Source organism: Homo sapiens, chromosome 3 (genome assembly GCF_000001405.40).
Source record: "Homo sapiens chromosome 3, GRCh38.p14 Primary Assembly".
NCBI classification, from domain to species: Eukaryota; Metazoa; Chordata; class Mammalia; order Primates; family Hominidae; genus Homo; species Homo sapiens.
Window position 1 is genome coordinate 138057035 of NC_000003.12, and position 27035 is coordinate 138084069.

The 27035-nt window shown below is 45.9% G+C and overlaps 1 protein-coding gene across 17 annotated transcripts in view, besides 2 other annotated features; it reads right to left on the minus strand.

Moving 5' to 3' along the window:
• Positions 1-4955: 4955 nt before the first annotated feature.
• DZIP1L (DAZ interacting zinc finger protein 1 like) overlaps positions 4956-27035 on the minus strand; it is a 53619-nt gene continuing 31539 nt past the window's right edge. For 4 of the 17 annotated variants that reach the window (XM_006713527.4, XM_011512524.3, XM_011512518.3 and 1 more), the window contains 7 exons: positions 24700-24730; positions 23533-23586; positions 20465-20598; positions 14609-14801; positions 11117-11333; positions 10497-10666; positions 7372-7733 (listed from right to left, as the gene is read on the minus strand). In XM_006713527.4, the coding sequence (XP_006713590.1) occupies positions 7399-7733; positions 10497-10666; positions 11117-11333; positions 14609-14801; positions 20465-20598; positions 23533-23586; positions 24700-24730 (1134 nt within the window). In that variant the 3' untranslated portion in view covers positions 7372-7398. The other 13 variants (NM_173543.3, XM_047447642.1, XM_005247198.4 and 10 more) reach the window with 10 other exon arrangements.
• Positions 9685-9734: an enhancer, noted in NCBI's record as "active region_20600". NCBI's record gives its function as "activates an Ori minimal core promoter by ATAC-STARR-seq in GM12878 lymphoblastoid cells {active_cell/tissue: GM12878}" and the evidence as "EXISTENCE:reporter gene assay evidence [ECO:0000049][PMID:35858748]".
• Positions 13693-14194: an enhancer, noted in NCBI's record as "H3K27ac hESC enhancer chr3:137789569-137790070 (GRCh37/hg19 assembly coordinates)". NCBI's record gives its function as "activates a minimal SCP1, AML or CMV promoter by ChIP-STARR-seq in naive H9 embryonic stem cells {active_cell/tissue: H9 hESC(naive)}" and the evidence as "EXISTENCE:reporter gene assay evidence [ECO:0000049][PMID:30033119]".

The following is a 27035-nucleotide window of genomic DNA, read 5'->3' on the forward strand; positions in this document are numbered from 1 at the left end:
CTAATATTTTCAATATATTAAAAACTCTTAAGAGCAATAAGACACAAATTACACAATAAAAATGCAGTCTAAAAATCAAAAGTAAAATAAGGCATTCAGTAGCATAACCACAGAAAAGAACTACAAGTGACTTTATAACACAGTAATTTAACTGGACATTCCAAGTAGGATCTACCTTAAGGACAAAAACAACTCCAAAAAAGTTAATAATAAATTTTAAATTGTTTTCAGTATTCATACAATAAGCAATAGGGTGGGTATTGTTATGTCTAAGACTATGATTGTGATGTTAACAGCCAGGATTTTTGGTATGGAAGAAAAGCGATACACATGTTAGGTCAACGAGATAAAGTAAAACTTCTGTAGTCAGGAATTTGAATAGGGAATATCAACATGAACTCACAATATTTTTATTGTATTTCCTATCTCTGTGCACTGAAAGATCTTAGAAACAGTAAGTCCAGTAGTGATAGGCACTCCTAGCACCCAGATGTCTATAAATATAACTTGCTTCTAAAAGAAACCAGGATTCCCCCAGATAAATTACTAATTTTAGGTCTGGGACAAGAAAGGTATGCAATGAGCCTGGAAGGAAGCTATCGGACTACTAAGGTCATATCAAAATCATTCGAGAACCAAATTAAAGAGGCACCCCAAGACAGTACAATCTCAGCGTTAATAAGGATAATAGTACAAAGGATTTAAACAAATCAAATATATTTAAATCTATAAGGTTGTATGACACCTATTGAAGATACTAGGAAGCTCATTCATTATTCTGAAAAAAGAAAGACTTGAGCCTTTAGCTGCTTTACCTGTATGAATTGCACCTCAGAGCAACCAGACAGTTTGATGTGGAGAATTCCTCTTTACAGAAGTTTTCCAGCTAGTAAATGTCAAAGGAATAACAAACAGACTATTAAACTTTTAGAGATTTCTAATTAATAGATTGGGCTGGGCGCAGTGGCTCACACCTGTATTCCCAGCACTTTGGGATGCCGAGGAGGGCGAATCACAAGGTCAGGAGTTCAAGACCAGCCTGGCCAATATGGTGAAACCCCGTCTCTACTAAAAATACAAAAAATTAGCTGGGCATAGTGGTGGGCGCCTATAATCCCAGCTACTGGGGAGGCTGAGGCAGAAGAATCACTTGAACCCGGGAGGCGGAGGTTGCAGTGAGCCGAGATCGCACCACTGCACTCCAGCCCAGGTGACAGTGCAAGACTCTGTCTCAAAAAAAAAAAAAAAAAAAAGATGGATTTAGGCAATGGTCATCAATGTCTATCACCAATGCCATCACCAACATCACAAGAAAGGAGAAAAAGATATTCTGTGTCTCCTGATGGAGATGCACAAAACCACCAATGAAGAGTCCTGCCAAAACACAAAAAAGTAGTCAAAGCTGAACCTGATCAAGTATTTAGCTCTAACTACAAATTTACAGATAGTTCAGGAGAAAGAGGAATACATTAAATACCACCACAGTAATCAATCAGCAAAACCCAGACTGTGGGGAATTCCACAAGATGAACAATCTGATTTATTCAGCAACAGTAAAAATAATAAAAATCATGGGGAAGGAAAAGGGAAAGGAAGAGAGGAAAGGAGGGAAGAAGGGAAGACAGGAAAGAGGGAAAAATGAAAGAGGAATCTATAGGTTAAAAAAGACAAATATGTGTAGTAAAATAGAGGAATTGTAGACAGAGAATTGATATTTGATGACATTTAGAAAAAAAGTACTGATTTTTGTTGTAGTGTGATGGTGGTACAATGGTTATTTTTGAAAAGGAAGTATCTTTTAGAGACACATACAGAAATGTTTGTAGACATAATGATATTATTTGGGATAATATGTAATATTACATGTATATTACTTGGAATAATATGCAGTATCATATTAAAACATACAATATTATTTGGCGAAAGATATACAGGAAACAAGATTCTCTATGGGTTGGTAATTGTTAAAACTGAGTAATAGGAACACCAAGGTCATTACACAATTCTATTTTTATATATGCTTGAAATTTTTCATAATAAAGAGATAAAGAAAACAGCAACAAGAAAAGTGAACTACGGGCAACTCATAAAAGAAGAAATAGCAACAACCAACATGAAAAAGAAATAAAAAATAATTTTACTTTAGAAGAAATCTTAAAAATGCAAGTTTCTTAAAAGGTGAGGTTTCATTTTTCACGTATCACGTGGCCAAAACATTGAAAGATTAATGATATCCCTGGTAGCAAGGGAATGCAAAAACTAGCTTTCTTGTGTGCTCCAAACACTAGTAGACTAAATTGGCTCCAGTTTTCTGGAAAGCATTTGGCAATATGTAACAAAAGTACATGGGGAAAGGAGCTAGAGTGCCAGGGCCAGGCTGCCAAAGTCAGATTGCAGTCACACCACTCACTGGTGGCAGGACCCAAAACAAGTTTCTTAGCTGCTGTGTACCTCAATTCCTAGCCCATGAAATGCATGTACTATAATAGTGGCATCCATCTCAAGGGCTGCTGTGAGGCTAAATCATAATATTGGTACCAAACTTGGACCAGTGCCTGGCATATGGTGCTGGCTTTCATTATTATGTTGGCCCAGCAACCTCACTTCTAAGAATTTATTTTAAGGAAATCTTAATCAAGTGCACAAAGACACATATACACATTTTTTTAATCACTTCATGATTTATAAAATGCAAAAAGTAGAAATGTCTGGTTAAAAAAACTTTTGTAATCTTTGCCTGGAATACGAGGTGGCCATTATATATAACTGTCTTATATTTATACGTACTGACATGTACATGTGTACTGATATAAAGACATTTGTAATCTGTTTTCCAGGAGAAAATCAAGCTAGAGAAGAATATAGTTGAACCCTAGGAAGGAGTTTTTTTTTTCACCAGTGCATGTACATCTAGATGTTAACAATAATTGACTGAATTTGTGGGTTATATTCTTTTTGATTATCTGTATTTTCTAATTTTTCTGTATCAACCTTATCATTTGTCTAATTTTTAAATGATCTGTTACATACGTTCCACAGTTCTGGCAAATCTTGTGCTGGTTAATTTTAGTTCAATTTAATGAGAGCAAGAGATACCTGGACAGCTGTGAAGCATTACTTCTGAGTAGGTCTGAGAAGGTGCTTCCAGAAGAGATTAGCATTTGAATCAGTAAACTGAGTGAGGAAAATCTGCCCTCTCCCATTGTGGGGGACACCATCCAATCTGCTGCCAGCCTATATAGAAAGGCTTTCTCTCTGGAGTTGGGACACCCAGCTTCTGTCCTTGGATGTCAGAACTCCAGGTTCTCAGGCCCCAGGACCTGCACCAACAGTCCCAGGTTCTCCGGCTTTCGGATTTAGACTGAGCCACTCTACCAGCTTCCTTCATTCTCCAGTTTGCAGACAGCCTATGCCGTGATCACATCAGCTAATTCCCTTAATAAATCCCCTGTCATTTATTAGGGAAACTGGCTAATAAATACCCATAAGTATCTATCTATCCATATATCCTACTAGTTCTGTTTCTATTGAGACCTAATACAACTTACTAAAGAATTTTAAAATATATTTGAAAATGGGAAGGGGTGAACACAGCATAGAAACACCAAAGTAATACGTTAGTCAAACCCTCCAAAGTAGATAGAAAAACCCATTTGGAAACATATAACGTAATGATGAACATTCAAGAACAGAGACATTCTCATTGATAATCATCACCAGTGTGTGCACACAAGTCCAAACACATTTACTGTTTACATTTGCATTCCCCCAAAAGTGGAGCTAGAAACAAGGACTTGGGTGCAGATTAATTTACCTCAGAGGTGCTCATAAGAGAAAGAAGTAAGGGAGTGAGAAAAATGAAACAGAAAAGAGGAAGGCCGATGAACTATGCATTAATAATAGTAACTGCATACTAGTGAGAACTAGCACTCAATCCCACAAGGGACTCTGAGAAACTGTGCAGAATAAAACTCAGAGGTGCCCCACAGAAGCACAGGAAGCCTGGAGCAATTACTCATCAACTCCCATCCCATCAAGATTGTGGGCTGATCTGGTAGCATCAGCTCTCCAGCTCTCCTGAGCTTCCTCATTGAGCAGCTTCCTTTGTACGACAACACCCCCAGCCTGCCCCCTCCCCCAGCTACCCTACTCCACCACCAGACCCCTTTTGCTCCCTGCAGTGTGTTTCCTCCATCACCTTCCTACGAGAACTTCAAGGCCTCTCCAGGTGTCAGGACCACCCAAAGGTCAAAGGAAGTCTGGGTGAGTTGGAGGTGGTAATAGATGAAACAAGATTGACCTTGAGTTGAGCTGATAATATTTGAAGCCCAGTGATGAGCACATGGGTTCATCACACTATTCCCTTTACTCATATATGTGTTTGAAACTTTCCATAACAAAAAGTTAAAAATAGATCTTTGCTGTGTCAGGGATGGAGGTTCTTTGCTAGGTCTCCCTTTCAGGAAAAAAAAAAAAAAATGCCACTCAACCAGGAGAAATGAAATTGACTGACAGGTTCACTCCAAGGTTCACTCCAGCTTTCAAGTCAAGGTCTCATTCAGTCTGGGCCACCCCAGCCAATGGCCAAGTGCAGTGCAGGCATGAGAGCCTGGCCATTTCTGCACAATGGGGACTCCCAAGTGGGCAGTTCTTGCTCAGGAGCTCCCCACTGGGTCAGTGGAGACCTTGTCAACACATCAATGCCCTGAGTTCTCCTGGCTCCTCCAGCTTCCTTCTCTCTTTCTGTTCACAGTGGTCAGGTGTGCATTGCAGTCTGCGGCCTTTCCCCACTGGATCCTACCTCCACCTCCTTTTCTTTCCCAAGTGCAGCTCCTCAATAACTCCATCTTGGCAACCATGTCCCAAAAGACCTAAACTGACACAATTAAGATGCAGTTGCTTCCTTCCCTCCCAACCCCCTGAAAGCTCCAAAAATAATGAAATACATACCAGAGTTAAAAACATTGTACTATATTTAAATGTTTGCATATAATATATTAATGTTTTTCACACTAAAAATATACAATGGCTATGTATAAAACCTGATTTTGGAAATAATATCAAAAATTACACGTGTGGTCCTTTGGGGATACAAGGTCCAGCCAAGTGGCCATCCTCCCTTCCCACCCATGAGTAGGCCTGCCACATATCACAACCCTGGGAAACTCTCCAGGATCACCCAGGCTGGGATAGATGGCCTCTCATATGCTCCCCATAACACCCTGTTCTCTGTCACTAGATTACTACCTTGTGCTGGCACTGGCTGTAAACATTCTGCCCCAGCCTCTGCCTGCACCCTAACTCAGTAGTGAGAGGCTAGAGAGCCTGGCGCAGAGTAGGTAGGCACTCAGTAAATAATTTTGGATCAATCACTGAATGACTGACTGAGGCATATGTCCCCAAAAGGACCCCAGATAGGAACCATCTCCACAGTGTTCCTGCAGTTTTATAAAAGGCTTGGGAAAAGAGAGTTAGTGACTCTTTTCAGTCTTGGGGGGATGTGGAGGTAGAGGAAGAAAACTACCTGGAGGTTCTATTTTAACCCTTTCTCAAGCCTGGGGACCTAGGGGCTCCTAGTCAGGCACCTGTGGCCATCTACAGCAGGGCCCCTCACAGGTCAGGAGGGATGAGATCATATCCATTCCCTGCACTGCTTCTCTCCAAGAGGATGATCTCTTGGTTGTTTGTGAAGACAAGAGGCCCAGCAGCCTCTTCTGTTGAAGTGGACCTGAGCTGGCCCCAGCCAGGCTAACCCTCTAGCCAGCTAGCTTCTGGGGTGAATCACCAGGCAGGGACCCTGGGTTGGCCAGAGCTCTGTGGACCAGTGCCAAACTTCTCTGGGAGCTTTGAGCGAGACAAGGGCTTGGGTTTCTCTCTCTGGTCCAGGTCCAGAGGAAGATCTTCCAAGGAGGAGATCTCCAAGTCACTCTCATCTTCAGAAAGCTGCAGGGGGTAAAGGGGAGAAGAAAATGCATTTTGATAAGGGAGGAGGGTGGCTGAGAGCTAAGCACATTGCAGGATGGGAATGCAGAATGGAAATGGGGACAAATGCAGACTGGGAAGAAAGCAATAGGGAGATGCTACTCCTCCTGACTTCTCAAGTCTTCCTGCCTTTGAGAACCTGCTTTAGTGACCTGGGATCAGGGTGATTTCAAATACCCCTGAAATTCTACTAACCAAACCCAGGCAAGTGCCTTGGAAAGGCCTATGTGCAGAGAAGGTTGCTCTCATTTTCACTTCAACTTTGGGCAGATTTTTAACTCCCTCTTGGACAGAGCCAGAAGCCCAGAAACTCGACTGTTCCAAGTTCGCGAGCTGAATGCACTGTGGGCTAATGACCCGCCTCCTCTCAGACAGGTTCCCTCAGGTCTGGTAAACATCCTGACTGAAGGAGCATGAGAGGAGCTTGGGAGCAACAGGAGTCCTTCAGCCTGGAAGGGTCTGCACTGCAGCCAGCAGGACAGCTCAGAGTCAGCCAAGGGACCAGGCCACCCCCTGACCACAGCCACCTGCGTAGCAGCCCAGGCTTTCCCCTCTGGAGTCCTCAGTGCCCCTGCTGGCCACCTGGGCTTTGATACAAGCCATCCTATGCATCTTCTCCAGGAATGTAAGACCGACCAATCAGAACCCATGCAGGGTGCAGGGCAGCAAGCATGCTCTGAGCGGCGCCTCAATCTGTTTGGGGCTGTTGGTGCTCTTTCACAATTTGGAAAAAGGAACAAGTTTTTTCTTTTCAATCATTTGGATGCATTACTCACAAACATACAGGAGCTGTGTGGTAAACCAAACACACTGTGGTAAAGAGCAGGGAGTGCTATCAAAAACCAAAGAATGGTTGCCCACCACTTGAAATTTTAAAGCAATAGCACTGATTATCCCAGGATGCACCTTTTTGATACAGAAAGGTGAGAAAGGAGTGTGAAGTAAAGGGAGCTCTAAAGTTTTCTGCTTGAAAAATAACAGCAGTGTGCAAGTTGTTCCCTGATGGAGGAGAGACGGGCAGTGAGGAGGGTCTGATGATGCTGGGGAAGCCCAACATCTGAGCTCTAAGTCTGAAAATCTGATGGTGGCTACAGTCTGAGGCAAGGAGGCTCAGGTTTCTAAAACAGAGGTATCTAAATATTCCCATCTTGTGCTGTTACCTACTCTGATGTGCTATGCGAGGCCACTCCAGTACCACCCTTGGGGGAGTCCGCTCCACACACATATTGTGTTAGGGTCCATGGCAGAGTGAGGGACTGGGGAGGAGCCCACTGTGGGATGAGACCGGGCTGGAAGAGCAGCTGCTGCAGGATGCCAGACACAGAGTCAGCTCCGAAGCTCTCCGAGAGGCAGGAGATGGGACAATCAAAACTTACTGAGCATTGCTTATATAATGAACCAAAAGGCTTTTTAATGTTAACTTGGATACAAGTATTCCAAACTGGCCATCTCTCCATGTGCACAGGGGCAGAGGGAGGTCACCCACAATGTCCCACTAGGGCAAAGGATGACACTTGCTGGGCCCTCCCCAACCTTCACCCCAGGCCCCCCAAACTCAGAGCTGGTTCTGTAGAGAATTCCAGAGTAAACTCTAAGCATCCTACATCCTACCTGAGGCTTCCTTCCTGGTGTGGCAGCCCTCTGTGGCCCAGCATTGGGCATAAAAAACAGACTGACCCCTCCAGCAGGCTTCTTTGCTGGAGCTTCTAGCTGCTTCTCCAGGTTTTTGACCATCGACTGCACCAGTGTTCCTGGAAGGTGAAAAAGTGGCTGTGTCAGTGGGAGAAGCCTAGAAAATGAACATCTCAGTTTTGTGGCTCATGTCCAGGCTCCAGTGTGGATAGAGGGAATGAGCAGAAGGGCCAGGAGGAAGAAGGCTGAGCAACCACAAAAAAGGAGACAGAGAAGGCCAGGCCAACAGGTACCCAGTGAACAGAGGCTTGGCATATTCTGAAAATGTGACTGTGCAAACTTAATGACATGGCTAGTGACAGAGGCTTAGGAAGCTGTGCTTCCCTCTAATGAGAGGCTGAGGCAGGACCTCTGCTCAGTGTGGGGAATGAACTGTATCACTAACATGCAGTTAGTTCCTCAACATCTTTATACAGAGACAAGAAGAAATATCATAAAGATTAGCACAGGAGGACCACAGGCAAGAATGACTTTCTGCAAAGTCCATGCAGGAAGCAGGAGCTAAGCAGTGACAGAGATCATCAAATAGATCCCTGATGCCTGGCACACCAAGGTAATGTATGAACCTCAGGAATGACCAGGAAGCAGGAAGCTAACTACAGCCTTCTACGATTCAAATGAAATCAAGGTCTGAGCAGACTTTTGGAGCTACAACAGCCCTTGGCTCATTGATTCATTCAAGAAATGTTTGTTAAGGGCCTACGATGTAGCAGGCACTGTTTCCTTGCCCTCTCATTAATCACCTTGTCCAAATACCTCATTTTATAACAAAGGATCAGAAACCACCTGCACAAGGACAAGCAGGTAGTAAGTGGCAGAGCCAAGACTTTCTCTGAAGATTCCTAACACCCAGTCCCAAGACCTTGCCACCCTATTGCCCTTGCCTGGTGGGCATCGATACTTCTCCAAAGATCTGTTTCTGGTGAATTCTGATGGACTGGCAGGCTTGGCTTATGCTGTAAACATGGCCAAGTACTGCAGAGTCTATTAAGAGCAAGAAATTTGCAGACCGCAAGCCTAGCCTGACATCCCAGGGTTTCTACTTACTGACCTTGGAAAGACAAAACTCTAAATTCCATATTCTTTAACACAGCCTTGGCTAGAAAATACAACTGAAGCCAGAAGCTACAGGCCTCAGTTGGCAGTTTTATAGGAAAATCTTGAAAGAATGGGAGTAGACAGTTGTTTTGAAAAGAAGGAGGCTCAACTAGTCATTGCAACCTGTTAGATAGAAAATAATACGTTTAACGAATATTTTCATTCCACTTACCATGACAGTTAGCTCAGGTCTCTACAATGCCCTTTCCACCAACAAGTTGAATTTCTAAGTCTCTTGGCTGAAAAGGGCAAAGAGCTTTCCTGTATGATGAAACAGGCTGCATGGCCCAAAGGCAGCCTGCTATAAAGGTTGACTGTGGCTGCCTCCTCTGTCTCAAGCTTTGCTGGGAAGCCACATTTTTCACAATTGAGTTGTTGCAAAAAGTTATGTGTGTTACACTCTATGTGTTCTTGAAAACTATATTTGTCAAAATGTTCATGGTAGGAAACTGTTTTCCCTTCAAGTTGTAACTGAGGTTTACCTTGGAGGCTACTTTGACCACTGTGATATTTAACTCTATGACCACCAACTCTTGATCTGGTGCTAATGAACTCAAACAGCATTAAAGACTATGGGGATATTCTTAACATTGGGAACACAGCTAAAGGCAGCTCTTTCTGGGGGGAAAAATGGTTTACAAGTAAATAAATAAACAGTGACTCTAACACATTAACTTCAAAAACATCATACAGAATCTCAACTTGCCATGACATCGTTCTGTGGTCTTGGGCCAGTCATAATGTCTATGAGGCTTAGTTTCAACTTCTGTCACGATGTGTGTGGCTCAGCCTTCCCTCATCAGTGCTGTGAGGAGTAAATGAGGAGACTTGTGCGAAGAGATCCACACAGAGCTGAGCACGCGGTGAGCACCCAGCAACACCAACATAGAGGGGAGAGCCTTCTCTCACACGCCTCGAGCTTCCACAGAAGAAGGAACTTCTGCTCTACTCACCGAGATGGACAAGGATAGGAGAAACACCCTCCCAGTTTCTTCCCCACATACTACCCTCTCTCACAGAAGAAGCCAAGCAGAGGGGTGGGCCTACAACACACCCTGGGCCACGGCGCACCTGAAGGAGGGCCGCTGATCCAGAAGACAGTGCCAGCTCTTTCTCTCGGACCCTCCCCGCCCCTGTGGCTGGGGTTGGAGCCTGGCTGGAGTGTACCCTACAGCTGCCTGTTTAAGGGCCTGCACACTCAGGGTCTTCTTTGCAAACCCAGCCCTGCACACAAGTAAGATTGGGATCTGGATTTGGGGAGGCTGGAGGGGCCCCCACTTTGGCCTCAAGTGCGGGTTGTTCCTCTAATCCAGCCCTAACAGGAAGCCTATGCCTCAGGCATTCCTGGGCCCTGTCACCACTACTAGAGCGAGGCTTTGATCTCCCGTAGCTGGCCACAGTGTTTACTCTCTACTGGAAAGAACATGGAGGAGAAAAGGGGTGAATGGCTCCCTTCAACCTCCCACAGTTAACAATTTAATGACAAAACAAGGGGTAAAACTAAACCTTGCTCAAACTCTAGCTTTCTCCTGATATCTCTGCTATCCCACAAAAAAATATCTGAGGCGAAGGAGGACCATCCTTTCCAAGCCAAATAGAGAAAGAGATGTCAAATAAGAAAGCCTAAAGGAAGCTAAAGGGTGTTTCTGGAGCCTTGAGAAATCTGGGCTGGAGAAGGGCTACACCGGTGGTCCCAGCCCACTCACCCAAAGGTGCCAGCTCACCTGAGCCCTGGCCAGGGGGCTGGGCATTCTCCTCCGAGGTCTCTGTGTCAGACCAGTCCCAGTCATCCTTGGGCCGGGGCACCATCCTGGAAGGAACTTTTGGGGGCTGTAGAGACACACGCTGCACACGGTCTCCCTCTGAGTCCTCTTCAGAACTGAACGGGGGCGTGCTGCCACGAGGAGGAGAAGAAATGAGGGATGCATGGGCCAGAAAGAAAACTTCAAAAGCCAAACTTCACCACGCTTCAAGCTGGTTTGGTTTGCTCAGGGCCAGCCCTGCTCCCTCCCTCAGGCCCAGAAGACAGCCAGGAGACCCCTGGAGTGCAGCAGCCACACCAGTATCTCCCTTAGTAGAGCCCTGCCCATCTGAGGATCCAGCCCCTCTGGAGGGGGAACGGGTTTGGGGGAGGACATGGGTAAGGGGAGGGTGGGTTTGTCTTGGCTGGGAGCACAGGTTCTCAAGTCCAGAGCTCAGACTGGACCCCACCTGAGGCACCTTCTATTCACATGTGTCTGCCCCCCTCCTATCTGCAGAAGCCTGGAGGGAGCCCAGAACAGGACTGCCTGAATCCAGGAGCCACCACTGCAGGTGGGGTGAGAGGGCAGAGTCTGGGGCTCACCTCATCCCGGGCCCCGAGGAAGGAGGGGTGCTGGAGGGTCCATGCAGTCCGGGGCGTGGAGCGGGGGCGGACACCTGGGTCAGGCTGGAGCCATGGCTGCCATGGCTCTGACGAGTTGGTGGGGGTGGCTCTGCCGGTGTGGATGGCAAGGCCACCTGCAGGGTCCTGGTCTTTGGCTGGGCCTCTCTGGTGACCAGTGTGCTCTGCTGGCTTTTGACTGGAAACACAGAAAGGAATGATTTTTGGAGTACACCCATGCTGGATCTCAAGCCTAAGAGGAGGGAGAAAGTGGCTCCAACACCCTGGAAATGAACAATTACTCCCTCTCCGTGCTGTAATAACCACAGCAGATTTCATGACTGTTGCCAAATCAGGTGTTCTGCTGGCCAGATTCGAGGCTAGGACCACAGTTCCACAGTTTCATCAGAGACCAGGAGAGCAGCTGGGTGCTCCAGGGTCGTGTTGTCATTACTGAAGACCAGCAGGAGTCCGCGGGCCTGAAGAGGGGCTCAGTAGTCCTAGATGGACTTCACCAAGGCTGCTACCCTCTCCCCAACCCACGCTACAGCCGCTGCACTGCAGGCAGTCCTGCAGGAAGACCCCACTGCCACCAGAGGTCGCCGCAGGACTGCATGAACCATCAAGATCCACTCAAACCTCCTCCCAAATGCAGTCTGGGGCAAGGCAGTACCAAGGCAGGCAATTGGACACAGCCCCTCTGTTTTCCAAATTGCATCAAGACCTATAGCCACAAGAGCGGTCCCGGATCAGCAAGTTTTTATGGGAAGAGAAGAGAGAGAGTGCATCACAGGGAGTCAGACATGTGTGGATTGGGTCACAATGTAAAATGAGTTTCTTACAGTAATTCAAGATCAGAAAATGTTTGAAATACAGTTGACCCCGAAACAACGTGGGGTTGAACAGCCATGGGTCCACTTATACGTGGATTTTCTTCCGACTCTGCCACCCGTGAGACAGCAAGAGCAACCCCTCCTCTTCCTCCTCCTCTTCAGCCTACTCAACACAAAGATAACAAGGATGAAGTCCTTTATGATGATCCACTTCCCCTTAATGAATAGTAAACATATTTGCTCTTCCTTGTGATTTTCTTAATAACATGTTCTTTTCTCTAGCTTACTTTATTGTAATAATACAGCTTATAATTCATATAACATACAAAATGTGTGTTAATAGTCCATATTGTCGGTAAGACTTCTGGTCAACAGTAGGCTATGAGTAGTTAAGTTTTGGGGCAGTCAAAAGTTACACGCAAATTTTCAACTGCATGGGGGGTTTGCGCCCCTGACCCCTGCATTGTTCAAGGGCCAGCTATGCACTGCTCTCAGTGAATGTGTCTACTCAGAAGTGGAGCTTCCAGGAAAGAGTGAACTGAAGAGAAGGGGAAGACAAAGACAAGCCTGCTGGGGGAAAATAACAATAGCTTCCCATGACTGTGTACCAGATACTAAGAAAAGCACTTTACATACAACCACTTGGCCCCCGAGCATCTTCAGAGGCTATCATTTTCCCTACAGAGGCTTGCCCTCAGCTCCACGGAAGAAAGTGGTGAATACAAACCCAGGTTGTCTGTCTGCCCTAATCTTGGGCCCTCACCGCTACTTCCCACAGCCTTGCCCAGGCCACAGAAGAGGCAGGGTCCAAGCAGAAATGGGAGGTGAGCATTAAGACAGCACTTGTGGGACCCAGGAAAAGAATAAAGGTGCAGAGCTGGAAGGAAAGGTCTACAAAATGCCACAAAAACACAGCGCTCATCTCACAACTCAGTAACATCTCCAGAGAAGGCAGAACCCCAGGGCCAGGGAAAGGGAAGGCTGCGAAGGGGGCTCTCCCTCCTGGCTTTTTTACTACAGGAACAAAGGTGTGTGGGAGTGGGTGGGGCGTAGCACCTAGAAGGAGCAAGATACCTTTGCTTTCTCTTGGAAGCCAGCATTCCGAGGGTTTTTCCATTCATCCTCCCCAAGTCCCTGTCCCCTCCCTCCTCTGAGCTCCCACCACCCCCATGCTTGGCTCCATCACATCACCTGGTCCTGGCTGATTTCCCAGGTGAGGTGGAAGGCCCTGGCACAGAGTCAACCTCAGCAAGTACTGTACTAAATGAATGAGTGGGCAAATGAATGAATGAACATTTGACTGAATGAGCAAAAGGATATACGTTTAAATTGGAGCATAAAAGGCAGATTGGCAACCAGGACAAATACCCTTCTGTCTGAGATTTCTATGCAAGATAAAAACCGTCCTTTCCTTAGAGATTTTAAGGCCAGAAGTTTAAACTAAATATTATAGTTTCCCAGGTCATCAATACATTTTTTTACCATATTTTCATGCCAAAATGACAATGCTTTTAAGCACAAAATACCTGCTTGATACTTGTCCAAGTAATAATTTCCATGAGCTCACAGGATTGCTATGTTAGTCTTATTTTCTTCTAATTCACATGAGGAAAAATAAAAATAAGTTATAAAATGATTGGTTGATGTAGCAACTAAAATCATCTCTCATATCCTCAGAGATACGTGGGCCATACTCTGCAAAATTTTTTTGCATGAAGAGCTCAAATCGGTTCTTCCTGGACACAGGAGATACAGAACTGGCCTCCTTCTGGCCACATGTGTCCCTGACTGAGGAGACGAAGTAAAAGGAGCAGGACAGCACCTGCATGAGCAGACCAGACCCACTGAAGCCCTCCCCAGAGCCTCTCACCACAGCAGCCCAGACCCTCTTGGAACCCTCTGGAAACAGGGGGCTCTCAAACCTGGGAACACAAATACACTTGCTCCGTAAGAACAGACTCAAGGGTCCTGGTCCACAGAATTTCGTGTTCCACCAGAACCACAGGGCCTTCTCTTGTCATGACCCCCAGAGCATGGACAAATGGTAAAGTGGCAGCTATGACCTGGCCCAAGGAACCAACTATGAGCTCTGAGAATTCATCTGCGTGCAGAACTGGCCCAGTCTCTCATGCTCTCCCATGGCCAGAGCAGGGGCTATCTGAGCTCTGCAGAAGTTTACATTCAATTGATATTTGCCTCCACCTGCAGCTTCAATGCTCCCGGGCCTCTGCCTGCCTCCCCAGGCTGGCATGCCTGGTGTGTAGAGCCAGAAACTGAATAGGCTGCTCTCTGTTGAAGAGACACTCAACTGTGGTCGCAACAAGCCAAACAGAATGAAGGTGCTAAGGGAGGCAGCATGTCTGCACAGGGACAGTTCAGGCTGACAACAGGCTCCAGCTCCGGCTCTCCTCCAACTTCCCCGAGTGACCCTGGACAAATGCCCCCACTCCACCCCAGATCCTATTTCCTCAACAGAGAACTTCTGGACTCAGTCCCCTGTAAGGACCCTACCAGCTCAGCCCTTCAGAGAAGTGCCCCTAATGGGGGACAGAGACTATACCCTCCTCATGTGCAAACAAGTTTTGGCAAGAATGGGACCCTTACAGGTCACAGCCCTGAGCAAGCCCTCTCCCCAGTGTACCTGAAGGCTGCCCGTCTGGCTGGGACACCACAGCGCCATTCTCCTGTCTCTCCTTCGCTCTGCTGGTGACTTCCTTGACAAGCTTTCCCCTCAGACTCAGAAATTCAGAAAACTTCCGGGCCTTCTGCTCCCGCTGGACTCTCAGCAGGGATTCCAGGTGTCTGAGAGTCTGAATCGAGATTCCCTTTGCATCCTAGAGGAGACAGGAGTTCACCTTTACAGAGAGAGGCTACCCTTCTTCTCCTTCCCCTAAGCCTCTCACACCTGCTGCTGCTGGCCTGGGAGTCTGTGATCAGTGCCTGGTGCTTTTCTTGCAGGACTGGGGGGCATGAAATGAGGATCAGAGAAGGGTAAGCAGCGGCTTCAAAGTTGCTGAAAGTGCAATGGTTCAGGGTTTGGGAGCCCCATCAAAATGTGCACAGCAGGATAATGCAAAGGACTGCGTCACAATTCTGACCACATCATAGCATAAGGGACTTCGTTGGAACATGCTTTTCTACCATCTGACTGAATCCTAGGATAAGAGACCACAGCTTGCTCATTTTTGTACTCCCAATTACTATTATTATGCCAAACACACTGTCCATGGCTAACAATGTTTAAAAAACTAAACTGCTGTAAACACAATCCAAGTACCCTTTCAAGACCTATTGGAAGTTGCTCGAGCTTTTGACATCCACCCAGAGCCCATGGGAGGGTCCAGGGAGGCATCTGAATCCAAGATGAGGATTCATGCAAGGTTAGAAAGGAATGTCTTAATCAAATCTGAATATAGGGCCAAAGTTAGAGTAGTCAGTAGTTGAAAACAATCAAAGTAGTGACCATTCTTCCTAAAATAACCCTAGTTGTCTATTTTTTTTTTCTAACTTACTCTACACAAACAGCATTCCAATAGTGTAATGCTTGGCTAATTTAATAATAGGTGTGTTTTTATTTAATAATAGATTTCATTGGTGCTTCTAATAATAACATACGTGTTCTGGTTAAGCACAATGGCATTCAAATACTAGTTGGAGAGAGAATCCATAGACCCTGTAAAGGAACTGGATCACTGCTGCAGACTCCCTGAGATGCCGAAAACCTGAGTCTGCTTGCTTTCTCAATGGGGAGGTTTGTGGTCTGGGGCAAGTTCCCAGCCCTGGTCACTGGCTGCTTGGAAATAGACTTGCTCCTGTTGGTGGGGCACAGTGCGAGTGAGACCGGACTTTAGGACCGCAGGCTGCGTGGAGATGGGCTGAGGCCTGTGACTGCCAGATTTCCCCCACTTCCCTGGCGACCTGTATGACTCAGCAGAGGCAGCCATAATCCCCCTGGGAATATAACTCCATTGGACTGGGAACACACCCTCATCCCCAACAGTAGCTGCAGCAAGCCACACCCAAGGAGAGGCTGAGCTCAGACACGTCTATCCCTGGCCCCACCTGGTGGTCTTCCTGCACCCGCCCTGGTAGCTGAAGACAAAGGTCATAATCCCTTAGGAGCTGTATGGCCCTGCCCACCGCCTGAGAAACCTGAATACTTAACCAGGTGTCCCTAGGGCAAGTAGGGAAGTATGCATCCTCCCTATAGGACCACAGTTTGAAAGCACCACCTCCTAGCTGGAGGCCAACAAACACAAAACCAATGCACTAAACAAACAAAAAGAAAAAACAAGGACCCTCAAGAGTCCACTTCACTCCCCTACTACCTCCACTGGAGCAGGTGCTGGAATAGTATCCACGGCTGCAAGACCTGAAGATGGATCACATCACAGGACTCTTTGCAGACACTCCCCAGTACCAGCCTGTAACTCTACTGGGTGGCTAGACCCAGAAGATCAAAAACAATCACTACAGTTCAGCTCTCAGGAAGCCCCATTCCTAGGGGAAGGGGGAGAGCACTACATCAAGGGAGCACCCCATGGGACAGAAGCATCTGAACAGCAGCTCTTGAATCCCAGATCTTCCCTCTAACATAGTCTACCCAAATGAGAAGGAGCCAGAAAAACAATTCTGGTAATATGACAAGACAAGGTTCTTTAACACCCACAAAAATCATACCAGCTCACCAGCAATGGATCCAAACCAAGACGAATCTCTGAATTGCCAGAAAAAGAATTCAGAAGGTCAATTATTAAGCTAATCAAGGAGGGACCAAAGAAAGGTGAAGCCCACCTTAAAGAAACAAAAAATGTTATACAAGAGATGAAAGGAAAATTTTTTAGTGAAATAGCATAAATAAAAAGTTATCACAACTTCTGGAAATCAAAAACACACTTAGAGAAATGCAAAATACACTGAAAAGTCTCAGCAATAGAATCAAACAAGCAGAAGAAAGAACTTCAGAGCTCAAAGACAAGGCTTTCGAATTAACACAATCCATAGAAGACAAAAAAGAATTTTAAAAAAATGAACAAAGTCTCCAAGAAGCTTGGGACCATGTTAAACATCCAAACCTAAGAATAATTGTTATTCCCAAGGAAGAAGAGAAATCTAAAAGCTTGAAAACATCTTCGAGGGAATAATTGAGGAAAACTTCCCCAGCCTTACTAGAGACCTAGGCATCCAAATACAAGAAGCTCAAAGAACACCTGAGAAATTCATTGCAAAAAGATCATCACCTAAGCACATAGTCAACCGGTTATCTAAAGTCAAGATGAAGGAAAGAATCATAAGAGCTGTGAGGCAAAAGCACCAGGTAACCTATAAAGGAACACCTCTCAGATTAACAGCAGATTTCTCAGCAGAAACCCTACAAGCTAGAAGGGATTGGGGTCCTATTCTTTAGCTTCCTTAAACAAAACAATTATCAGCCAAGAATTTTGTATCCAGTGAAACTAAGCTTCATAAATGAAAGAAAGATACAGTCTTTTCCAGACAAACAAATGCTGAGAGAATCCGCCACTACCAAGCCAGCACTACAAGAACTGCTAAAAGGATCTCTAAATCTTCTTTTTTAATTTATTTTTTTATTATACTTTAAGTTTTAGGGTACATGTGCACAACATGCAGGTTTGTTACACATGTATACAGAAACAAATCCATGAAATACAACAAAACAGAACCTCCTTAAAGCATAAATCTCATAGGACCTATACAACAATAATACACGAAAAAAAAAAAAGGCAAGGTATTCAGGCAACAAATAGCACAATGAATAGAATAGTACCTCACCTCTCAATACTAACATTGAATGTAAATGGCCTAAATATTCCACTTAAAAGATACAGAATGGCAGAATGGATATGAATTCACCAACCAAGTTTCTGCTGTCTTCAGAAGACTCACCTAAACTCACATTAGGACTCACACAAACTTAAGGTAAAGGGGCGGAAAAAAAACATTCCATGCAAATGGATACCAAAAGCGAGCAGGAGTAGCTATTCTTATAGCAGACAAAACAAACTTTAAAGCAACAGCAGTTAAAAAAGACAAACAGGGACATTACATAATGATAAAAGGACTAGTCTAACAGGAAAATATCATAATTCTAAATATATATGCACCTAACACTGGAGTTTCCAAATTTATAATACAATTGCTACTAGACCGAAGAAATGAGATAGACAGCAACACAATAATAGTGGGGGATTTCAAGACTGCACTGACAGTACTAGACAGGTCATCAAGACAGAAAGTCAACAAAGAAACAATAGACTTAAACTATAACCTAGAACAAATAGACTTAACAGATATTTACAGAACATTCTACCCAACAACTGCAGAATATATATTCTATTCATCAGCACATGGAACATTCTCCAAGATAGACCAGATGATAGGCCACAAAACAAGTCTCAGTAAACTTAAGAAAATCGAAATTATATCAAGCACTCTCTCAGATCACAGTGGAATAAAATTGGAAATCAACTCCAAAAGAAACCCTCAAAACCATGCAAATACATGGAAATTAAATAACCTGTTCCTGAATAATCGTTGGGTCAACAACGAAATCAAGATGGAAACTTAAAAGTTCTTTGACTGAACGATAATAGTGACACAACCTATCAAAACCTCTGGGATACAGCAAGAGCAGTGCTAAGAGGAAAGTTCATGGCATTAAATGCTTACATCAAAAAGTCTGCGGCCTGGCGCGGTGGCTCACGCCTGTAATCTCAGCACCTTGGGAGGCCGAGGTGGGTGGATCAGGAATTCGAGACCATCCTGGCAAACATGGTGAAACCCCGTCTCTACTGGGTGGGGTGGCACGTGCCTGTAATCCCAGCTACTCAGGAAGCTAAGGCAGGAAAATCCCTTGAACCAGGGAGTCGGAGGTTGCAGTGAGCCGAGATCGCACCACTGCACTCCAGCATGGTGACAGAGCGAGATTCGTCTCAAAAAAAAAGGCTGAAAGAGCACAAATAGATAATCTAAGGTCACACCTCATGGAACTGGAGAAACAAGAATAATCCAAACCCAAGGAGACAATGGATCAGGACGAGTGGCTGAGGAGTGGGCCCAGAAGCCTTGGGTAGCAGCACTGGAGGTCCTAAGGACTCCAGACTGTCCTTAAATGAGGAGGGAGCTTCCCAGAGTGGGGATGGTCAGCATCACTAATTACCAGGAAAATGCAAATCAAAACCACAATGTGATACCACCTCACCCCTACAAGAATGGCCATAATCAAAAAATCAAAAATTAATAGACGTTGACATGGATGTGGTGAAAAGGGAACACTTTTACACTGTTGGTGGGAATGTAAACTAGTACAACCACTATGGAAAAGTGTGGAGATTCCTTAAAGAGCTAAAAGGAGATCTACCATTTGATCCAGCAATCCCACTACTGCGTATCTACACTGAGGAAAAGAAGTCATTACATGAAAAAGATACTTACACATGCATGTTTATAGCAGCACAATTTGCAATTGCAAAAATGTGGAACCAGCCTAAATGCCCATCAATCAATGAGTGGATAAAGAAACTGATATATATACATACCATGGAATACTACTCAGCCCTAAAAAGGAACAAAATGATGGCATTTGCTGCAACCTGGATGGAATTGGAGACTATTATTCTAAGTGAACTCAGGAATGGAAAACCAAACATCGTATGTTCTCACTCCTATGTGGGAGCTAAGCTCTGAGGACACAAAGGCATAAGAATGGTACATTGGACTTTGGGGATTTGGGGGAAAGGGCATGGGGGTGGAGAGGGATAAAAGGCTACACACTGGGTACAGTGTATACTGTTCACGTGATGTGTGCACCAAAATCTCAGAAATCACCACCAAAGAACTTATTCATGTAACCAAACACCACCTGTTCCCCAAAAACCCACTGAAATAAAAAATTAAATTTCAGATATTTTATCTGAAAATAAAATATACATACATACATGTATATACATACATACATGTAACTGCTAAAAAACTATAGGAAAATATAAGTTATTACTTCTCAAAAAAAAAAACAAATAATTGGTGTCAGACACAGCTTTCAGTGATGCCCACACACAGCCACCTGCTGAGTGGACACAGCCACATGTACCACAGATGATGGGCTTGCAGATGGATACTTACCCAAGGGGGGACCTATCCACAGGCCAGATTGAGCCAATTAAATTCCCTCTAGCAAAAAATTTAGAGACACAGAGGGAAGTAACCAATGAGTGGAGAACACTGAGCAATCAGGACTCAGGGTAGTATCGCCAGCCAAATAGGGCCAGTCTTGAGAAGCTGCTGGAGAAACAGAGGAAAGATATCACACTGCCGCTGTGAAGTGAGAAAGGCGTGCAGATGCCAGAGGAGCCCGGGCTGCCACAAGTGAGATGAATGAGCTCACAATGCAAAGAACAATCGATCATTTGTCTGTCTGAGAACACTTAGTGTCTAAATCGTAGGTATCAGCCCTTAAAACGATGGCCCTGAAACTCACCTTCCTTATCCCCATGCTTTCGAGCTTCTCTTCCAGGGTGTCCTCCAGGATTGGTCTGAAGTGCTTCAGCAAAGTGGGGTTACGCCTCAGAGCTGCCAGCACCTTGTGCTGTTCATCCTGGGAGTCCTCCATCTCTGTAGCATGAGACATTCACCCAGATCAGCCTGGGCACCTGAGTTCTCCATTCCCAGAGCCCTACTGCACCTGCCGAGCCCTCACACTGCCAGGAATCCTGGTCGGTTAACTCAGGACTTGGAGATTGCACTTGAGCCCTTAAAGCAGCTTGCTCTCTGGGCTCCCTTCTGATCTCAGATTCCAGGCCCCACTGCTGTGGGTTCCAGCCTAATCCTAGCCCCACCTGATACCCTCATCTCGTTTCCATGCCAGGCTCAATTCTGGTCCAGGTGATAAACTGGTGGACAAGATAGACAGATCGCTGCTCCCTCAAGTTTACTGTCTAAACCGGAGATTCTCCCTCTAACTTTAGCATATATCAGAATCACCTGGGCATGGGTTAAAAATTAATAGTCCCTCACCTCACCCTCCAAAGAGTCTGATTCCATAAGTCTGGGGGAGGACCCTAGAATCTACATTTTAACATACTGAGATGATTCTGATGGAGGTAAGCCACAGACTATACTTTAAGAAATACTGACCTGAGGCTAGCAAAATAAGCAATTACAATTAAATGTGGTAAGTGCTACAAAGGAGCAGTCCAAGGTGAGTCAGGGAAGGCCTCCTACGGTGTTCTTCAGGTTCCATCTGGGGGCCTCTGTGGTAAGACCAGGACCAAGCCCTTTGACTCACTCAGTAGACATTAACTGAACAAGCAGCATGAGTGTAATCAGGCTAGGGCTGGATGCCAAGGACACAGAAGCCCATCTCTCGTCCCCCAAGGACCTCACTCACAATCAAGGGTGGTGAATTTCACTGCTGGCTGCGAGTTGGAATCACCCCAGGCTGATTCCATCAGAATCTCTCAAGGTGGACCCCAACGCTTGATATTTATATTTTAAATTCTCTAGATATTCTAATAAACAGCGAAGCCTGAGAAACAATGATTCTAGGACAATGGTCCTTAACTGTGAGCCAAAGCATCAGCATTACCTGGTAACTTGTGAGATGCAGATTCTCAGCTCCCACTCCAAATCTACTGCATCAAAAATTCTACAGGTGGAACCCAAAAATCTGGGTTATAATAACTCCTCCCCTACCACCCATTCACCTCTGACCCTGCGTGATTCTGCTCAATAAAGTTTACACCAGGACATGAGCCTCAACCTTGTCTGCACATTGGAATCACCTGCGGAGCTTTAAATGCTACTGGTGCCTGGAACCCACCCACTCCATGTTCTGCTTTAGGTAATGTGGGGGTGTAGCGTGGTCCTCCAGACAGTTCAAGCTTCCTGGGTGATTCTTAATGTTTAGCCAGTTGTAGACAGCCACTGGTCTCACAGTGGTTCTCAAACTTGAGCAAGAATCAGAATGCCCTGGAGAGTGTCTGAAAACAGATTGCTGGGTCCTGCCCCCAGAGTTTCTGCTTCAGTTTGTCTGGCATGGGGCCTGAGAATTACAACTTTGCATTTCTAAAAAATTCCCAAGTGATGCTCTTGCCTGCTGGTCTGGGACAGGAAGAGGTAGACAAACAGTGTAGTAAGCAAGTAAAACCTCCACTGTAACAGCAGGGGCATGGCCACAGGATCCCCTGACTCATCAGTCTCAGGCTCCTCCTCTCTAGAACCCTGCATCCACTGTTTGAAGATGTGATTCATCCTATCTGAGTTACTCAACAGATACCTTCCTCAAAAGTGATACGCAATTCTAATTTTTACAACTGTATCCCAAGGTTAAATGCACTGGGAGGGTAGGCGGAGGCAGTAGAGGACTAACTGGTTAAATAAATTTTAGTTCATCCATCTAAGGGAAGACTGCAAAGCCCTGAAAAAATAATGAAGCAGTTCTCTTTAAAGGGATATGAAACCATTTCCTAAGTAAGTTGTTAACAATATAACTAACTGCAGAACAATGTGTACAGTGTGTTCCCATTTGGGAAAAGGGAGAAGAATGGGTACACACATGTGCTTATATTTGCACATATTCCCATGTAGCATGGAACGATAAATGAGAAACCATTAACAGTGAAACTTCTGGAGAGGAAACTGGATAGCTGGGCAGAAGGGAGGCCTGCTTCTCACTGCATACCCTTTTATACCATTCCTTTTTTTTTCCAAAGTGCATAGATTACCATCTCAAAAATAAAGAAAAACATTACATTAAAAAATAAAATACCCCATGATGAGCTCTTTGATGGCACAATTAAAACTTGTCTGGGTGTGTCCATTGGGGAACTCTGAAATTGTCATATCATTGCCTTGCTCAAACAAACGGGACCTGGTCAGTAGCTTTTCCAGTCAGCACTCACTCATCTGTCCTGGGAGCTTCCTCTCCCTGACTATCCCTAAGATCTTCTTGCAGTCAGGGAGCATCTCTCTTTTCTTCACTTTTCTTTTGCATCCCTTGGCTACATCTGGTTGAGAGGTCTGCGAATCAGAGTCAATCACTGGATAGGGTGAATAAAAACAGCAGGTGCCCAATGCTCTGACAAGGGAGCCGAGGTGGATTCCTATGCATTAGTCAGGCCCTGTGGGACCTATCTGCAGCACACTCACAATGTAGAAAAAAACAGCAAAGGCCATTTTAAGTCAACTAGGCGAGTTATCTTCCACTGTTCTGCATAGTCGCAGGTGAGAGTCAGTAGGGCAGGCTGTGAATCAGACGTCCCTCCAAATCCTCACTCAGTTACCTGCTAGCTTTGTGACTCTGGACAAGCTAATGACCCTCTCTAGGCCTGGGCTTCCCCATCACTAAACCAGCAGATTGTATGTTAGTACCTGCATGTCACATGCCTGGCACACAGAAGGTGTTAAGAAATATTATTTCATGTCCTTAGATCCCTCCACTCCAGCTTCGGATGTCCAGATACAGTTAAGTAGAGACAAACTAAACAAGGAGGAGGGCAGCAAATCTGTTTCTGCACTGGACACCCAGGAAAGAAAGTAAGGTCCCACCTTCCTCTGGAGAGTCCTCCTCTGTGTCCACAGCCTTTGGCACCTTGTGGATCCCTGAAGAGAGGAGGAACAGTTAGTGGCACCAGTGCTCTGGACCCCATCCCTGACTAGAAGAAAAGTACAGAACCCCAGCTGAGTATGAGCCAGAAAGAGAAAACCCTCCAGTCAGTGCATCTTGACTGGAGAGAGGCAGGACAGAGCAGACACTGGCGGCAGAAAGATCAGAGTCCACACACTAGCTCTGCCCCTCGCTATCTGTGAAAGAGATGGCAAGTCCTTGAACCCCTCTAAGCCTGGGTTTCCCCATCTAGAAAACGAGGATAATTCAATAGTGAGCCATGTAATGAGATGATGCATCTGAAGTGGCTGGGGAAGGGTGTGGCACATGTCTATTATCAATGGCTCTGCTCTAGCTCCATCCCTCAAGAGGGTCTCCATCCCTCAAGAAGTTCAGGGCCACAGGGGTCGGGCCTGTCTGAACTGGCTACACGGCTGGGAAGGGGATGGGCAGAAGGCAAGGGATAGGAAGAAATGTGAGTTTGCAAGAAAAGGCAGAAGTGTAGCTAAAGCCATAGGACAGGGGAGCTGGGGGTGGAGGATGAAGGGCCAAGCTTCACAAGGGGCTGTCCAAGGTCCTCTAAACAGGAGCAGTCCCCTGTGGGTTGCCGTCTACCTTTAGATGCCAGCACCTGCACCCCATTACACACAGACACACGCATCCCCACACCAGAGTACCCAAGAGGAGGAGACTGTATATGCCAAACAGGACACATTCACATGGGGTTGGGGTCAACTTGCTGAACATTGGGAACAAGGTAAAAGTTGCTGGCAACCCTGAATCCTGATTTTACTCATTCGCTGCAGGCATGGTGAATTAGAAAAGCCTTCTCATGAGCCCCCACTCCACCCATAACCACCCTCCTCCCCACTGCCTCCATCCCTTTACAGACAGGAGCAAGCCAGGCAAGAAGCCCTGCCAGCTGCATGGGAAGCCTTCAGCACAAACAGAGCTGCAGCCTGTGTGGCCCAGAAGCCTGACACTACATGTCCACAGGCTGCTGTCACCAATCCACCACCCATGAATTGACTGGGGGAGAGGGAAAAGGAGGGAGAAAAGCCAGAGACAATAGTCAAGACTGCTACACACTGCCCTGTGTAGACACTTACCTTCCACCTTCCTGAGAGACAAGGACTGGATCTGCAAAGAGGTGGAATAGAGCGGGTTACAACCAGCAGAGAACATTGTGAGAACTCTGCTTTGAGCAGTGTCTGCCTAGCACAGTGAGGAAGGGATGGCTACAGATTCCATGACTCACGTTGGGAACTGGAAGGAGCTCAGATGCACCACCCCAGCCCCCTGACACATCTCTGGGGTCCGTGTGTGAAAGGGAATGGCAGCATGCTCCATTTTCCAAGGTGGGGAGGCAAGAATGTCCCCTCTTCAAAGAAGAATTATGCCTCGAGGGCAGGAGCCCCATAGAAACAGAGTGGGACAGGCACACAGTTGTTCCTATTGGTATAATTCATGGAAAACAGCCAGGGCAAGGGAGAGGCTCCCTCCCACAATGCGGGCGTCTGAGCAGAGCACTCCCTGGGAGGAAGGAGTCAGACACATTCCCGGACAGGAGGCCAGATGTAGACATTCACTGAACTGTCTGCTCAACCCCCCTGCTCCAAGAAGTTCCTGTTCCTTCCCCCTTCATGGCTGCAGGCAGGACAGCCACAGGTGAACAATGAGACTTCACACCACAGCCGGACCCAACACCCAAGTTAAGGCAAAGAGCTCTGGACTGGTAATGAATGATGTCAAAGCTGCTGGCAGCCAATTGTTTGTGGTTTTTCTTGGTTCGTATATTTGTTTTACCACATAAAACAGATAAGCAGCAGAAGCTGATCTTCAGGGTAAAAGGAAAAAATAAAGCAGTTATAGAGAAAGGAACAGAGACACACAGAAAAGGAAAACTGATGACCACATTCATGTCTCTGGTTTCAGTTTACTCCCAGACTCAGCTGCTCCCTGCCGTGAGCTCTGTGAGATGCTCCATCTACCCTTATGACAAACTCCCTCTTCTACTTAAGCTTCGGTTGCTTTTTATTACCTGCAGTGGCACATGCTGACATATGACTCATCCAGTATCCATTCCCCACTGCTGTCTCCTTTGCCTACCTCTACTCCAAACTGCAAAACTAGTTGTTTACTTTCCCAGCCTTTTTTGCAGCTGTAGTTTCCCATGTGACACAGCTTTGACCAATAATATAGATAAGCACAAGTCTTGGGAAGGGACCTTTTCATCAACTTCTTCTGCCAAATATGGTTGTATGGTTGGGGCTACAGTAGTCTGCTTGCAACATGAAAGTGAAGCGGTAAACAAAAGTCATCACACTGAAGATGGTAAAAAGAAAAACACAGTCTGGATTCACAATGGCATACTACTTCTGCTAACCAAGCCCAGCAACTGTCACCTCTCTTGCTGTGAAAATAAAAATAATAGCCCCTAATAGACTATTCTGTTATCTTTAGCCAATAGGTTCCTAACTGAATCATTTGCAAATAAGAGTTCTGAGTAACATACAGGACATTACAGCCAGCAGGGAACACTGTGGAAACTCTGCTGTGGTTTCCTCCTTAGGAAACCTCCAGACTAGAGCTTAGTGCAGAGCTGAGTGTTTTGGGGGGAAACTGAAAAGTAGCAAGACAGTGGGGTAGTTATGTCACCTGGGTGAAATGTGGCTGGGTGTGTGGGAAAGCACAAATAGCAAGGGGTGCAGGAACAAGAGGCCAGGACTAGACAGTAACAGTGGGTGCTCAGCCCAGGGAAGCTGTGTGGAGCCTGGTCCATGAGGTGGGTGGCAGCAGAGGAAGATACAGATTTTCCACAGACCTGGGGCTCTGGAGGGGGAACTCAGCCTCGACTGGGCAGAGAATTGTCAGCAACAGGTAAAGAGTCACAGGGGCCAGCTTTAGGAGAAAGGTGCTAACTAAGTGCCTTTTCATCACACTGCTTTATCTCTCACCTCATCAGAGGCTGTTCATTTGTGAAAAAGGTACTGGTTAAGGAATTCTGCCTAAGAATACTGTGTAAAAAACACACGCTTTGCGTTCTTCCTGCCTGGCCAGAGTTGAATCTCATCACTTACCGAGTGCCCCGTGAGGACTTGAGTGAGGCACTTCCCTTCTCCAGCTTATTTCACCATCTGTCGAATGAAGATGGGGAGAAGGGGGATGCCTACCTTGAAGGATAGTAGTGAGGCTTAAATGAGGTAATAAGCAAAGTATCAGTGAGGTGCTGAGCGTTTTATATGGTCTCTGCTGTTAGAGTGGCCCCATCTGCCAGCAGCCCCTAAGGAGATGGCACATCTTCAGCCTGGAAGGAGGCAGCTACAGCCTTATCATTTTGTGCCCTTCATGCCAGAGGACTCTTCTCTCTCCTTAAGGAGCCTGAGTGGTAAGACTAGCACTGATGAGCCCAAAAGAATCCAAGGAGATCCTCACAGGAAAGAGG